Raw genomic sequence first — 16053 nt, forward strand, 5'->3', positions numbered from 1 at the left:
CTACTAAAAATACAAAATTAGCCGGGCATGGTGGCACATGCCTGTAATCCCAGCTACTCGGTAGGCTGAGGCAGGAGAATTGCTTGAACTCGGGAGGCGGAGGTTGCAGTGAGCGGAGACTGCGCCATTGCACTCCAGCCTGGGCAACAAGAGCGAAACTCCATCTAAAACAAAAAAATTAAGTGATTGATTCTGGAGAAAGAAATTGGGTAACTCAGTGGCAGGGTTGAAGGAAATTTTTGGTAGCACACACCTGTAATCCCAGCTACTTGGGTGGCTGAGGCACAAGAATTGCTTGAACCCAGGAAGCGGAGGTTGCAGTGAGCCAAAATCATGCCACTGCACTCCGGCCTAGGTGGCAGAACAAGACTCTTATCTCCAAAAAAAAAAAAAGTTCCTTTCAGAGTCGGAAGAACAAATAGCTGAACACAGCCACAGCCACAGCCACAGGTTATCTCCCCTGGATGTCAGCTTTTGTATTTCTCCTCTGTTATTTCATCCTGGCTGTCTAGGCCTTAACCATCTTTGTTCTAGCTAAAGCTGTGACTGGATCTTTGTTTTATCACCTTTCCTGGATGTGCAAATCCAGTATTTCTACCCAGGTCTGTGAAACTTCAAAGCCTGTGCTCCTGAACATATTATGCTTCCATTTGCTCTATCACTAATGAAAGATGAGCTTAAGTCTTCCGTTGATTACAGATTTGTCCGTTTCTCCCTTGAGATCTGTCAATGTCTGCTTTATGTATTTTGAGGCTGTTATTAGATGCATACAAATTTAGAACTGTTATATTTTTCATCATTACACGTCCCTCTTAATCTCTGATTCTTACTTTAACCCTTTTCCTGTTTGCCCTGAGAATACTCGCCAGTGATGCTTGCAACTGCAGCACTTACCCCAAGAAGGTGACAATGCTGTCAACATTCCACAGTGATACTGTGATTGAAGTAGACAACAGAAATGGAAAGAAAACTAAGAAGCCAGCTGGGCACAGTGGCTCATGCCTGTAATCCCAACACTTTGGGAGGCCAAGGTGGGCGGATCACGAGGTCAAGAGGTGGAGACCATCCTGGCCAACATAGTGAAACCCCATCTCTACTAAAAATACAAAAATTAGCTGGCATGGTGGTGCGAGCCTGTAGTTCCAGCTACTCGGGAGGCTGAGGCAGGAGATTAGTTTGAACCTGGGAGGTAGAGGTTGCAGTGAGCCAAGATCGCACCACCGCACTCCAGCCTGGTGACAGAGCGAGACTCCATCTCAAACAAAAACAAAAAACAAAAACAAAAAAATCAGCCAGGCATGGTGGCACACACCTGTAATCCTGGCTACTCTGGAGGCTGAGGCAGGAAAATCCCTTCAACCCGGGAGGCAGAGGTTGCAGTGAGCTGAGATCACACCACTATATCCAGCCTGGGCAACAAAGCAAGAGTCCATCTCAGGGGGTGGGGCGGTAGGGGCGGGAAAAAGCCATGTGCCTTTGTGGATTATAACAAAATTATGGGAGCAGTGGACTCAGCTGATCAGATGTTCATTTCTTATCCAACTGAGTGCAAAAGCACAAGGTTTGGTATAAATTAATCCACCACCTTCTAAACATTACAGTGCATGAACTAAATTAGAAAATTATCTATTTATAAACGGAAAGTAACCACACAAGCACAATGGAGTATACAGTACGAATTAGTCATATAAATACAAGTGGTAGCGCAACCATTCTGAGTCAATCTATTTTATTGACCAAAAGATTCCTGTGGAAACAGGAGGTGAGTGCCCTAAGCCCTCACTCCTTAGCACTCTGCGTGCTGATGTAGTCCTGGAGAAGCGCCTGCGCCTCCATCCGCCGGCTCATCTTGGTGGCCTTGCCCTGAAAACGGCCTTTCTTCCCTGCTCCTTTGCCTTCCAGGACCTCAGCCACCCTGGGGAACAGAGGTATAGTCAGGGAGACTTTGAGGGAAAAGTCACAAAAAAAAACAAGGGCAGCTCTGAGTCTTTTTCCAGGGACTGGGAGAGGGATAAGAAGAGTAGATGACTTCTAGGAATCTTTCTTGAAAACACTTGCACATAGGCTGGGCATGGTGGCTCACACCTGTAATCCCAGCACTTTGGGAGGCCAAAGTGGGTGGATCACCTGAGGTCAGGACTTCAAGACCAGCCTGACCAATAGGATGAAACCCCGTCTCTACTAAAAATAAAAAAATCAGCCGGGCATGGTGGTATGCGCCATAATCCCAGCTACTCAGGAAGCTGAGACAGGAGAATTGCTTGAACCCGGGAGGCAGAGGTTGCAGTGAGCCGAGATGGTGCCATTGCACTCCAGCCTGGGCAACAAGAGTGAAACTTTGTCTCAAAAAAACACTTGCACATATGCACAAAGATATATGTACCATCATCACATAAGAGTGAATAACTGGAAACAACATCAGTGTCTATGAATTGGGCTAGATAAATTATGTTAATCTCCAGAGAGCAGGGTGAGCACCTGTAATCCCAGCACTTTGGGAGGGCAAGGCAGGTGGATCACTTGAGGTCAGGAGTTCGAGACCAGCCTGGCCAACATGGTGAAACCCTATCTGTACTAAAAATACAAAAAATTGGACGGGTATGGTTATGTGCACCTGTAATCCCAGCTACTTGAGTGGCTGAGGCAGGAAAATTGCTTAAACCTGGGAGGTGGTGGCTGCAGTGAGCTGAGTAGCCTGGGCTCTCCAGGCTGGGCAACAGACTAAGACTCCATCTCAAAAAACAAAAACAAACACATTTCATAAAAACAAAAACAAAAACATACATGTGAGATGTGGAGCCAAAAGACCTTCAACTGTCAAACTGGAAATGACAGTAGTAATAATTATCTCTGCTCAGCCCACCTCACATGCCCATGATGTGAATTAAATGAGATCGCAGATGTGATGGTCCTTTGACTCAGTAAAGGAATGTATTTGTAGGATACAGGCTCTACTACATGTGCAAGAGAGTCCACAAAGAATTACCTGGGCCCCAGGGTCTCCACAGACGCAGGTGGCCCTGCCAGTAAGAAGAGTCCACCACCTTTCTCATCGCCCACAGTTAAGAACAGGAGGGTCTCCTAGGAGGTAAGACAAGGAGATAAGCTCTGATACTGAAGGATGTAGAGTCAACCCCCCAAATCCTGCACTCTCTTCAATCTTAAGAATAGATTATTTCCCCCTAAACCACCAAGTGACGCTCCTGATGAATGATGATACAGCCCCTCCACACTGGCCCACGAGGGCCAAGAAACTTTTTGAGAGCAACTATGGGAACTTAGGTGAAACATTAAGAAGGCAGCAGAAGACTGCTGATCCTGGCTAAGCAGAAAATGCCTTTCATGGTTTCACTCTTGCAAACTTTTCCCCACCACACATCCTTTCCCTGCCACTGCCTAAACCACCAGGTTTCCCTCTGCCTGGCCGCCTCTGCCCCTTGTCTGTCTGATGACCTCTAAGCAGTCTTCAAGGGCCCCTCCCCTGAAACCTCCCTATCCTTCAGGTAATGTGCTCCTCCACCTCTAGCATTCATCACTCTATCATTCTGAATTATAAATGTCGACATACATATTTGTCTCCCAGACTAGAATATGAGCTTCTTGAGAATCAGTTCTGTCTATACAGAAGAATTATGAAAAGAGAGATACACAACGCTTTACCCACAGTAGGCATTCCAAAGAAGGGTTCTGGAGTAAATACAAAAGAGATAGTGGGGCATGGTGGCTCATGCTTGCAGTCCCAACTACTCAGGAGGCTGACGTGGGAGGACTGCTTGAGCCCAGGAGTTCAAGACTGCAGTGAGCCATAATCACGCCACTGTACTCCAGCCTGGGTGACAGAGCAAGACTCTGTCTCTGAAAAAAACAAACAAACAAACAAACAAACAAAAGACCTGGAAATCTCTAGGCTAGAGACCATCAGGAGTGGGAAGAGTAAGTAAAGCCAGAGGAAGAGGAAAATGGACGGGGATGGCTTTCAAAGGGGCTTGCCCACTCCTGTATTTACTTTTTTTTTTTTTTTTTGGAGACAGTCTGTGTTGCCCAGGCTGGAGTGCAGTGGCGCAATCTCGGCTCACTGCAACCTCAGCCTCCAGGGTTCAAGCAATTCTCCTGCCTCAACCTCCCAAGTAGCTGGGTCTACAGGCACCTGCCACCACACCCAGCAAATTTTTGTCTTCTGTTTTGAGACAGAATCTCACTCTGTAGCCCATGCTAGAGTGCTGTGGCACAATCTCAGCTCACTGCAACCTCTGCCTACCAGGCTCAAGAGATTCTCATGCCTCAGCCTCCCGAGTAGCTGGGATTACAGGCGCATGCCACCACGCCTAGCTAATTTTTTGTATTTTAGTAGAGATAGGGTTTTACCATGTTGCCCAGGGTGGTCTCGAACTCCTGAGCTGAGGCAATCCACCCGCCTCAGCCTCCCAAAGTGCTGGAATTACAGGCGTGAGCCACCATGCCTGGCCTGATTTTTCTATTTTTAGTAGAGATGGGGTTTCACCATGTTGGCTAGGCTGGTCTCCTGATCTTAAGTGATCCACCCACCTTGGCCTCCCAAAGTGCTGGGATTACATGCGTGAGCCACCGCGACCAGCCCACTGATATATTTCTAATATTGGATCCCCAGCACACATAAACCTGAATGGCTTTGAGGAGCTAGAGCTCTGATGAAAGGAGCTCAGAAGCTAATAAACATCACAGCCCCAGAGAGAGCAATAACATAGATCTAGCTCAACACCTAAAACAGAGCTTGGCATATAGCTAGTACTAAGAAAACAGTATTGAATGAATGGCTATTTCCTCCTCCTCATGTGTTCATGTGGAGGGACTTTGGCTAAACTAGCGCCCCTCACTTATGTCTCCCTAGGTCTCTATCCAGGCCGGGGTAGAGAATCTCATGCTCCTCTTACCTCTGACCCAATCTCATTGGCAATGATATTCATGAACTCTGAATCACCCTCCTTCCTACAACAAAGGACACAGACATGAGACCCAGGTTGGAGTGGTGGCTGTGAAACTGCAGGAAGCCTGGCCCCTCCTTCTGAGGCTGGCCTTGCTGCCTATGTACACATAAAGTCCCATATCCCTTAGCCAAGAGAGAGTACTGGCTGAAAGCCAGCAAGCTGCCCTTCTCAGCCTCTGCAGTTTGTAATCAACCTCCAGGTTTGTTTCCATCTCCCTTAAATAGGATTCACCAGGATAAGCAGAAATCTGTTAGAGAGTAAAGGAGGTAGGGGACAGTCCTAAAGAAAGATACAGGCTGGACACAGTGGCTCACACCTGTAATCTCAGCACTTTGGGAGGCCAAGGTGGGCAGATTGCTTGAGGTCAGGAGTTCAAAACCAGCCTGGCCAACATGGGGAAACCCCAGCTCTACCAAAAATACAAAAGTTAGCCTGGTGTGGTGGCACATGCCTGTGATCCCCCAGCTACTCGGGAGGCTGAAGCACGAGAACCGCTTGGACCCAGGAGGCACAGGTTACACTGAGCCGAGATCATGCCACTGCACTCCAGACACACTAAGACTCCATCTCAAAAAAAACACAAAAAACAAAAGATACAGAGTTACAGTAAATATGTTAATATCAAACCCAGGAGGCCTGGTATGTAACATATTTCTTTTTTTTTTTATATTTTTGAGATGGGGTCTCACTCTGTTGGTCCAGGCCGGAGTGCTGTGGCGTGATCTCCACTCACCACAACCTCTGCCTCCCGGGTTCAAGTGATTCTCCTGCCTCAGCCTCCTGAGTAGCTGGGACTACAGGCGCGTACTACCATGCCTAGCTAATTTTTGTACTTTTAGTAGAGAAGGGGTTTCACCATGCTGGCCAGGCTGGTTTCGAACTCCTGACCTTGTGATCCACCCGCCTCAGCCTCCCAAAGTGCTGGGATTACAGGCGTGAGCCACCGCGCCCGGCCAGTAACATATTTCTTAGGATCTACTCAACCTTGAGAATACCAGTGAGCAATCCACCTCCCACTGTACATTGCATATAGAGAAGACACTGAGCCCTAAGCCCAACACAGTTCCCCTTCCTTGTGTCCAGCTCCTAATTTCTCACCTGTGTAATATGACCACACCTCCCCAGTCTGGACTGTTCCTGAGGCTATGGGCAATGTGCACAGCCAGGTCTCTGAGCAGATTCAGGTTATTCTGAAATGGATATGGTAACTCAGTAGATAAATGGAAAGGATAACAATAGAGAGTATCAGCTTCCCTCCACCTCATTCTCCCCTCACTCCCACTTTGACAAACTACACATCTGTTTAGGCAGAAGACCAAGTCTGCAGAGCCTATCCTAGGCAGGGCCCATGCCCTCTCTACCCTCCATGGAATAAATCACCTTCTGCAGGATCTTGGTGGAGTTCTGGAGCTTTTTCACTGCTTCCACATGATCCTCTGCTCCACACCTGAAAGAGAAAGGTCAGAGGAGACCTGCGCAGCTTCCCAGTCGTTTCTGATGTTGGGGACATAAATCAATAATTTCCTTCTTGCTATGGTGCCTCCCTGCAGTCAGGGACCAGGAGATATTCTGAGGAGGTCTCTTAGGCAACTGGGAGAAAACATACAAAGGAATTAACCACTTTTCGTGGTTCTGATTTACTATCCAAAGCACTTGATCTTTTTTTTTTTTTTTTTTTTGAGACAGAGTCTTGCTCTATCGCCCAGGCTGGAGTGCAGTGGAACGATCTTGGCTCACTGCAAGCTCCACCTCCCGGGTTCACGCCATTCTCCTGCCTCAGCCTCTCGAGTAGCTGGGACTACAGGCGCCCACCACCATGCCTGGCTAAGTTCTTTTTGTATTTTTAGTAGAGACGGGGTTTCACGGTGTTAGCCAGGAAGGTCTTGATCTCCTGACCTCGTGATCCGCCCACCTCGGCCTCCCAAAGTGCTGGGATTACAGATGTGGGCCACCACGCCTGGCCGCACTTTATCATTTACGATTGCATCTTATCTCCCAGAGGTAAGAGATTATGTCGAAAATCTCAGAAATGGGAGGTAATCGAAGGTACTGAAACAGGCATACTTAAGCAGAGCAGTCAGTGCTTTTTCAGTTCCATGACTTCTCTCCATCCACTTCAGCACCCGGTTCCCAGACAGAAATATCAGGTTGGTTCTGTTCTTTTTCCCCTTCTCAGTGCCCAGAATCTTAATGACCTACATGAGGCAAGGGGGTAACACACACACACACGTGTGCACATGCATAAACCACAGCGGATCCTAGAACCTGAAGGCAGGAGAAACCTATCTGTTCCTCAGCTCTGAAACAGTGAAGGGGAGATTTCACTTAGGACTCCTCGATTATCCCCCTCTCCCACTCCCAGCCCCATGTGATCCCCTCTCCCCCAATCCCTCTTCTCAGCCACTCCACAGCCGTTCCTCACTTACCTGAAGGTCACTGAGATTGCTCACATGGGTCCCACAGCACATGTTGGAATCAACGCCCTCGATGTTAACAACCCGAATGGGCCCAGCATGATCATCAGGCAAACCCCGGCCACTCACCTGGACTCAAGGAGAGGGGAGGGACTGTCTGAATCTGATGAGGAATCATTCCGCAGAAACCATCCCTCTGGCTCTACCCTTACCTGCTCCACCTCAGGATCATCCAGGCTCAGTTCTCGGACATTCACAGGCAGCCGATCTCTGATTTTTTCATTGACGCTCTGCTCAATGGCAGCTACTTGCTCTGCAGTCATAGAGGGGGTGTCCAGCTCAATCGCACTCCGAAATCTCCCTAACTCCCTGTCAGAAGTACAGTGGCCACAGATAACATATCTTACTGAACAAGAAAAAGCTGAAAGCTTTTCCTCTAAAAACTGGAACAAGCATACCCTCTCACCACTTTTTTTTTTTTTTTTTTTTTTTTTGAGACGGAGTCTCGCTCTGTCGCCCAGGCTGGAGTGCAGTGGCGCGATCTCGGCTCACTGCAAGCTCCGCCTCCCGGGTTCACGCCATTCACCTGCCTCAGCCTCCCGAGTAGCTGGGACTACAGGCGCCCGCCACCACGCCCGGCTAATTTTTTGTATTTTTAGTAGAGACGGGGTTTCACCGTGTTAGCCAGGATGGTCTCGATCTCCTGACCTCGTGATCCGCCCGCCTCGGCCTCCCAAAGTGCTGGGATTACAAGCGTGAGCCACTGCGCCTGGCCTTTTTTTTTTTTTTTTTTAAGACAAGCTCGCTGTCACCCATGCTGCCATTTGGTGGCAATCACAGCTCACCACAGCCTTAATCTCCCCGGCTCAAGCAATTCTCCCACCTCCGCCTCCCTCCCAGTGCTGGGATGGGCCTGCCTACAGTTAGTCTTATGCCTCCCACTCACCATGATGTTGTCTTCAGCTTAAATAGATGGTCAGCAACTGCCGTGATGAGATGCTGCCCTAAGCAAAGAGAGCCAGAGACAGGAGAAAAGTGAGAAGCCTACATACTCCCACAATGATAAAATATGAGCTACAATGATAAAAGCACAGAAATTCTCCTTGTTGAAGACCTGCTAAGCACTGGGTAATACACTTTAGATACTTTATTGAAAATCACAATGAGAATTCTGCAAGAGGCCTTATGATACCATTTCACAGATGAGGAAACTGAAGCCTAGAGAGATCAAATAACTTGCCATGGCAATGTAACTTATAAGGGGCTGGACTTGAACTTAACTTCCTTTTTTTTTTTTTTTTTTTTTTTTTGAGACAGTCTCATTCTGTTGCCCAGGCTGGAGTGCAGGGGCTCACTGCAGCCTCCGCCTCCCAGGATCAAGCAATTCTCGTGCCTCAGCCTCCTGAGTTGCTGGGATTATAGACGTGCATCACCGTGCCCGGCTAATTTTTCTACTTTTAGTAGAGATGGGGTTTCACCACGTTGGCCAAGCTGGTCTTGAACTCTTGACCTCAAGTGATCCACCTGCCTTGGCCTCCCAAAATGCTGGGATTACAGGTGTGAGCCACTGTGCCCAGTGAACTTAAGTTCCAATATGCAGCATTCATCCATTCAACAAGTATTTATTGAGTACCTACCAAATGCAAGGCACAGGGCTTGACATAAGAGATACAGCAGCATCCCTGATTGACAAGAGTGATGATGAGGAGAAAGAAGAGGAAGAGGAGGAGGAAGAAAAGGAGAAAGAGGAGGAACTATCAAGGAAGAGGGAACAAGACAGCCAAAGGCCTTAAGGAAGAAAGAAGTAGCGCATGTCAAAGGAATCCAGAGATGACAAGCAAGGCCAGGATGCAGCCAGCAAGAGGTCAAGGGACACCAGATGAGGCTACAGCAGTAGACAAGAGCCACCCAGATACAGCTTGTATGCCATGGTAAAAAGTTTGGCTTTACACGAAGACCTACAGGAAGCCTCTGAAGAGCTTTAAGCAGAGGAGTGACATAATATTTTCATTTTTTAAAATTTATTTCAGTCAGGCGCGGTGGCTCACTCCTGTAATCCCAGCACTTTGAGAGGCCAAGGCAAGTGGATCATGAGGTCAAGAGTTTGAGACCAGCCTGAAACAACGTGGTGAAACCTCGTCTCTACTAAAAATACAAAAATTAGCCGGGTGTGGTGGCATGCACCTGTAATCCCAGCTACTCAGGAGGCTGAGTTGCTTGAATCCCAGGGGTGGAAGTTGCAGTGAGCCAAGATTGCACCACGGCACTCCAGCCTGGGCAACAAAGTGAGACTCTGTCTCAAAAAAAAATAAAAATAACAAATAAAATTAAATAAAATTTATTTCATTTTACATATTTATTTTTATTTATTTTTGTATTTATTTATTTATTTATTTTGAGATGGAGTATCGCTCTGTCACCCAGGCTGGAGTGCAGTGGTGCAATCTCAGCTCACTGCAACCTCTGCCTCTCGGGTTCAAGCGATTCTCCTGCCTCAGCCTCCCAAGTAGCTGGGATTACAGGTGCACGCCACCATGCCTAATTTTTGTACTTTTAGTAGAGTCAGGGTTTCACCATGTTGACCAGGTTGGTCTCAAACTCCTGACCTCAGGTGATCTGCCCACCTCAGCTTCCCAAAGTGCCTGGGATTACAGGCATGAGCCACCACGCTCAGTCTGTTTTTATTTTTCTTGTTTACATTTCCACTTTAACTTATATTTATTTATGCCAGGTGCGGTGGCTCAAGCCTGTAATCCCAGCACTTTGGGAGGCCGAGGCGAGCAGATCACAAGGTCAGGAGTTCAAGACCAGCCTGGCCAACATGGTGAACCCCCATCTCTACTAAAAATACAAAAATTAGCCGGATGTGGTGGTGCGTGCCCGTAATCCCAGCTACTCAGGAGGCTGAGGCAGGAGAATCACCCGAACCCAGTAGGCAGAGGTTGCAGTGAGCCAAGACTGCACCACTGCACTCCAGCCTGGGTGACAGAGCGAGACTTTGTCTCAAAAAAAAAAAAAAAAAAAAAAAGTTATATTTACTTTTTTGAGACGGAGTCTTGCTCTGTTGCCCAGGCTGGCGTGCAGTGGTGCCATCTCAGCTCACTGCCACCTCTGGCTCCTGGGTTCAAGCAATTCTGCCTCAGCCTCCTGAGTGGCTGGGACTACAGGCATGCACCACCACGCCCAGCTAATTTTTGTGTTTTTAGTAGAGACAGGGTTTCACAATGTTGGCCAGGCTGGTCTCGAACTCCTGGCCTCAAATGCCTGACCTCATGATCTGTCCGACTTGGCCTCCCAAAATGCTGGGATTACAGGCGTGAGCCATCGCGAGCAGCCTACATTTATTTTCTGAGACAGGGTTTCACTATCTTGCTCAGGCTGGTATGGAATTCCTAGCCTCAAGCGATCTTCCCGTGTCAGCCTCCCAGAGTGCTAGGACTACAGCAGTGAGCCACAGTGCCCAGCCATTTCTCTTTTCTTTTTTTTTTTTTGAGATGGAGTCTCGCTCTGTCGCCAGGCTGGAGTGCAGTGGCGCGATCTCGGCTCACTGCAACCTCCACCTCCCAGGTTAAAGCGATTCTCCTGTGTCAGCCTCCTGAGCAGCTAGGACTACAGGCGCGCATCACCATGCCTGGCTAATTTTTGTATTTTTAGTAGAGACAGGGTTTCATCATGTTGGCCAGGATGGTCTCGATCTCTTAACTTCATGATCTGCCCACCTCGGTCTCCCAAAGTGCTGGGATTACAGGCGTGAGCCACCGCACCTGGCTGCCATATTTTCATTTTTAAGATTGTTCAGCTGGGCGCAGTGGCTCCCGCCTGTAATCTCAGCACATTGAGAAGCCGAGGCGGGCGGATCACGAGGTCTGGAGTTCGAGACCAGCCTGGCCAACATGGTGAAACACCGTCTCTACTAAAAATACAAAAATTAGCCAGGCATGGTGGCACGCACCTGTTATCCCAGCTACTCGGGAGGCCAAGGCAAGAGGATCACTTGAGCCCGGGAGGTGAGGTTGCAGTGAGCCGAGATCATGCCATTGCACTCCAGCCTGGGCGACAGAGCGAGACTCCAACTCAAAAAAAAAAAGACTGTTCTGGTGCTATGTGGAGAATGGGCTACAGAGGAGCCAGACTGAATGTGGGGCAATCAATTAGGAAACTGTTAGAGAGGTCCAGGGGGAAGACAGCTAGGAGCTGGGACTAGGATGACAGTGACTGTGGAAAGAAGTGGACAGACATTTAGAAAACAAACCAACATGCTGGGGGGGTGTGGCTCATGCCTGTACTTTGCGGGGTCAAGGCAGGCGGATCATCTGAGGTCAGGAGTTCAAGACCAGCCTGACCAATATGGTGAAACACCGTCTCTATTAAAAATACAAAATTAGCTGGGCATGGTGGTGGGGGCCTATAATCCCAGCTACTCGGGAGGCTGAGGCAGGAGAATCGCTTGAACCCGAGAGGCAGAGGTTGCAGTGAGCCGAGATCGCACCATTGCACTCCAGCCTGGGTGACAGAGCGAAACTCTGTGTCAAAAAAAAAAAAAAAAAAGAAAAGAAACCAACAGGACTCAGTGATTGGCTGGCTGTCTATGCCTGAAGAGGTATCTGGAATGACTTCCAGAACTTGAGTGACTAGGTGCATGCTGATGCCCTGCGATGAACACACAGGATGCTAATGAAAGACCAGGAGGGAGGGGAAGGCTTTTTGTTTCATTTTGGACATTTTGAGTTTGAAAAGGCTGTGAGACATCCAGATGGAGATATCGAGTGGGAAGTTGATAATACCTAAATCCAGCAGTTATTCTAATACTTTTTTTTACTTCAGTTGTTCATGTTGCTGTTATAACATTTAGGATATCCTTCCTGAATTACAGCTGATTCTGAATAGTCTGTCTTTTCCAAAAGGTTAACTCCTAGAGAACCCAAACTACGTCTCAGTCATCACAGCATCCCCATACATGGCAACTGCTCCGGTGTTATGTCCCCCATCCCAGCCTTTACCTGAATGCTGCTGCATGTGGTCAAACCTCCGCTCCCAATCTACCCGGACCAGAACCTGGCTTCCTGGATCCAGGGGTGTCTGGGTGAAATGATCAGCCTGTTCCCCACGGCGAGTCACTCTCAGCACAGAGATGTCATTGATTGTACCACGGTCATCAGGCTGGTGGAAATAAGTAAACGTAATCAATGGCAAGGCAGGGCTCACCCTAACTTCTAGGTACAAAGACCCTCTAGGGTGAGAGACCCAGAATCTGGGCTCCCTAAGGGAGAGGGAGAAAGCAATGCCAAGTGAAATGAGTCCACTTTGTTCCATGAGAGGATTCTCAGTCCTTTTCATTCTAAACACCTATGTGTTGTGATCTTCAGAATAACAGAATTAAAGAGATTGTAACTACAGCAACAAAAATTTTAGTAAAACCCGAAGAATCTTAATCCTCAACTCTCCTTGCCTTAGTCTAGATTCTTTTGTAGTCTCTAAAATGATCTGATTTTTCCTCCCTCCCTCCACTCCATCCTCTTGCAGTGGTATTAGAATTAGATTCAAAAATGTTCATTTAGGCTGGGCATGGTAGCTTATTCCTGTAATCCCACCACTTTGGGAGACCAAGGCAGGAGGATCGCTTGAGATCAGACTGGACAACACAGTGAGACCCCACCTCTATGAAAAATAAAAAATTAGCTGGCCATGATACTCCCTGCTACTTGGGAGGCTGAGGTGGGAGAATCACTTGAGCCCAAAAGGTTGAGACTGCAGTGTGCTATGATTGCTCCACTACACTCCAGCCTGGGTGACAGAGTGAGACACTGTCTCATTTAAAAAAAAAAAAGGGCCAGGTACAGTGGCTCACACCTGTAATCCCAGTACTTTGGAAGGCCGAGGTGGGCGGATCACAAGGTCAGGAGATCAAGACCATCCTGGCCAACATGGTGAAACCCCGTCTCTACTAAAATACAAAAAATTAACTGGGCATGGTGGTGCACACCTGTAGTCCTAGCTACTCGGGAGACTGAGGCAGGGGAATTGCTTGAACCTGGCAGACGGAGATTGCAGTAAGCCGAGATCACGCCGCTGCGCTCCAGCCTGGCAACAGAGCAAGACACCATCTCAAAAAAAAAAAAAAAAAAAGTTCATTCATTTTAAAACATTTCAAGTGCCAACTGCTTACAAAAGACTGTGCCAGCCCAAGAATACAATGTAAACAAGATATGGTACCTCATGGAACTTAAGAGTCTAGAGAACAGAGGCTGGAAAACAGACAATTGCAATATGACCTATAACATGCCATAATATGAAAAAGTATATGACGCTAGAGAACCTCAAAGGAAAGAGACCTAACAGTCTTGGGGAATCAAAAAAAGACTTCCTGAAAGAAATGCTGTCTAAAATGAGACCTTCTATGGATACTTGAGGTCACAGGTTTTCCTTCAGCAGATCAGGGAAATCTTCATACTGGGAAAATCACCATAATAATGACTGATATGAAATTGGAACTCTCTCAATACCAAGTCTACTGAACATGTTCTCTCATGTCACTTATTTGCTTAAGAACCTGAGTGGAGGCCAGGGCAGTGGCTCACACCTGTAGGCCCAGCCTTTGGGAGGCCAAGGTGGGAGGACTGTTTGAGGCCAGGAGCTCAAGATCAGCCTGGGCAATAAAGTGAGACCTCATCTCTACAAAAAAGCAGCCAAGCATGTTGGTTGTGCGCCTGTAGTCCCCACTACTGGAGAGGCTAAAACAGGAGGATTGCTTGAGCCTGGGAGTTCGAGGCTGCAGTGAGCTAGATCAGGCCACTGCACTCCAGCCTGGGTGACATAGCAAGATCCTGTCTCTTAAAAATAAAAAAGAAAGAAAATAACCTGCATGGTTCGCTGCCCACACACCTTAATACACCTTTTTTTTTTCTTTTGAGACGGAGTCTTGTTCTGTCCCCCACGCTGAAGTGCAGTGGCACAATCTTGGCTCACTGCAACTTCAGCCTCCCGGTTCAAGTGATTCTCATGCCTCAGCCTCCCGAGTAGCTGGGACTACAGGGGCCTGCCAGTATGCCTGGTTAATTTTTATATTTTTAGTAGAGACAAGGTTTCATCATGTTGGTCAGGCTACTTGGGAGGCTGAGACAGGAGAATCACTTGAACCCAGGAGGCGGAGGTTGCAGAGCTGAGATCATGCCACTGCACTTCAGCCTGATGACAGCGAGAGATTCTGTCTCAAAAAAAAAAAGAAAGAAAGAAAGAAAAGAAAAGAAAGAAAAGCCTTTCTCATAATGCCCACCTTTGGTGTTATTATCCTCCTCTTCCATCTTCACAATGTACCTCACTTGCGCTCATGTTGTACCTAGTCCTCATCACAGCACTGATAAATATGCTCTCTGCTGTACTACTGTAACCCGTCTATCTCACCTGAACTCCTTCAGGAACATCTTTTTCAGTCCCTAAAACCCGAAGCTAATTCCTTCCTTGGGGCCTTTGCACCTGCTATTCTACCTGCCTGAATACTCCCTCTGCCCCCCAGCACCACTAGATAATTGCAAAGACTCACCCCCTCACTTCGTTTAGGTCTCTACTGAAATAACTTACCCTTCATCTAGACAAGCATCCCATCACTCTCTTTCCCTTTACTTGGTTTTTGTTTATTACTTATTATACCTAGCACACACAGTTGTCTTCAATAAACATTCCACGTATATAAAGGCACTGTGTTGTTCACCGGTTATCCTTACAGCCTGGAATAATATCTAGCATATGTTATGTCTAGATAAGCAATTGCTGATAAATACTCATTAAATGAATAACAAAATGAATTAAACTAAAGCTCATCTGAATTCATTATGGCTGAGAAAAAAGGGGCAGGAGAGCATTTCGGCCTGAGCACAAAGAAACTGGGGGCTTCCTGGGAAGAGATCGTTTTGGTACCTGTCCCCCGCCCTCAGGGAAAAGCACTGTGTCTTCCAGCACCACTTGGAAACCGCTCAGCACTTCTTTCTTGCCGTTGCTCCCTTCAGTCTGCAGCTCCGCGGGACAGCAGGAGACCACGGTGGTGGTGAACTGAACAGAGAGGAATGAGAGAATAAGCCCCGACCCCAGCCCTAGCCCTAGCCCTCTCCACACCAGGACAGAATGCCATGTTGGCACTCCCTACACGTGGCGCCCTCTTCCCCAAACCGCCTTGCCGGCCCGGCAGTCTCAAGTGCCTCGCCGTGACGCCGTACCTCTCGGGCATAACTGTCACGCTGACACCAGAACGCCATACCTGCAGGCGTGTGAGGAGGCGCACGCGCAGAGAAGCCTGGGAGCGAACGGAGAGCGACGTGGGACAAACGTCATCAAGGGCGCTTGTCTGCGCAGAAGCAGGAGGGTAAGGAATGGAATGCGGTTTGGATAAATTTACTGAAAACGCGAATTGCATATTTGCTGGGTTGTTTAACGACTGTTCTAAGGCTTTACAAAGGACAAGACCAGGAGGAAAAAAACAAACAAACAAAAACAAAAAAACGCGACCTGGACAAGGCACGTGGTTTAGTGAGCCCCTTGGGGCCCCAGGGATGTAAGTATTCTGGCTGCGGAATCCCAGCGCATAGAGGCGGGGACGGGACTGGCATGGTTACTGAGCAGCACTGCCCAGTAGAAATAGAAAGCAAGGAGCTGGGGGAGGTGGCTCACGCCTGTAATCCCAG

General features: G+C 48.0%; 2 protein-coding genes across 3 annotated transcripts in view; both read right to left on the bottom strand.

Moving 5' to 3' along the window:
- Positions 1–1712: 1712 nt before the first annotated feature.
- AARSD1 (alanyl-tRNA synthetase domain containing 1) lies at positions 1713–15641 on the bottom strand. Its single transcript, NM_001261434.2, has 12 exons — positions 15589–15641; positions 15293–15424; positions 12379–12538; positions 8325–8382; positions 7591–7747; positions 7391–7507; positions 7029–7159; positions 6345–6411; positions 6063–6154; positions 4911–4965; positions 2987–3081; positions 1713–1915 (listed from the first exon to the last, which is right to left on the bottom strand). Exons 1-12 carry the CDS (start codon positions 15625–15627, stop codon positions 1780–1782), a joined length of 1239 nt encoding a protein of 412 aa, NP_001248363.1. The 5' UTR covers positions 15628–15641; the 3' UTR covers positions 1713–1779.
- PTGES3L-AARSD1 (PTGES3L-AARSD1 readthrough) overlaps positions 1713–16053 on the bottom strand; it is a 30003-nt gene continuing 15662 nt past the window's right edge. For both annotated transcript variants that reach the window (NM_001136042.2, NM_025267.4), the window contains exons 7-17: positions 15293–15424; positions 12379–12538; positions 8325–8382; positions 7591–7747; positions 7391–7507; positions 7029–7159; positions 6345–6411; positions 6063–6154; positions 4911–4965; positions 2987–3081; positions 1713–1915 (exon numbers count right to left, since the gene is read on the bottom strand). In NM_001136042.2, coding sequence (NP_001129514.2) covers positions 1780–1915; positions 2987–3081; positions 4911–4965; positions 6063–6154; positions 6345–6411; positions 7029–7159; positions 7391–7507; positions 7591–7747; positions 8325–8382; positions 12379–12538; positions 15293–15424 — 1200 coding nt within the window. In that variant the 3' untranslated portion in view covers positions 1713–1779. The remainder of the gene's footprint in view (positions 1916–2986; positions 3082–4910; positions 4966–6062; positions 6155–6344; positions 6412–7028; positions 7160–7390; positions 7508–7590; positions 7748–8324; positions 8383–12378; positions 12539–15292; positions 15425–16053) is intronic.

This window comes from Homo sapiens, chromosome 17, assembly GCF_000001405.40.
Source record: "Homo sapiens chromosome 17, GRCh38.p14 Primary Assembly".
NCBI classification, from domain to species: domain Eukaryota; kingdom Metazoa; phylum Chordata; class Mammalia; order Primates; family Hominidae; genus Homo; species Homo sapiens.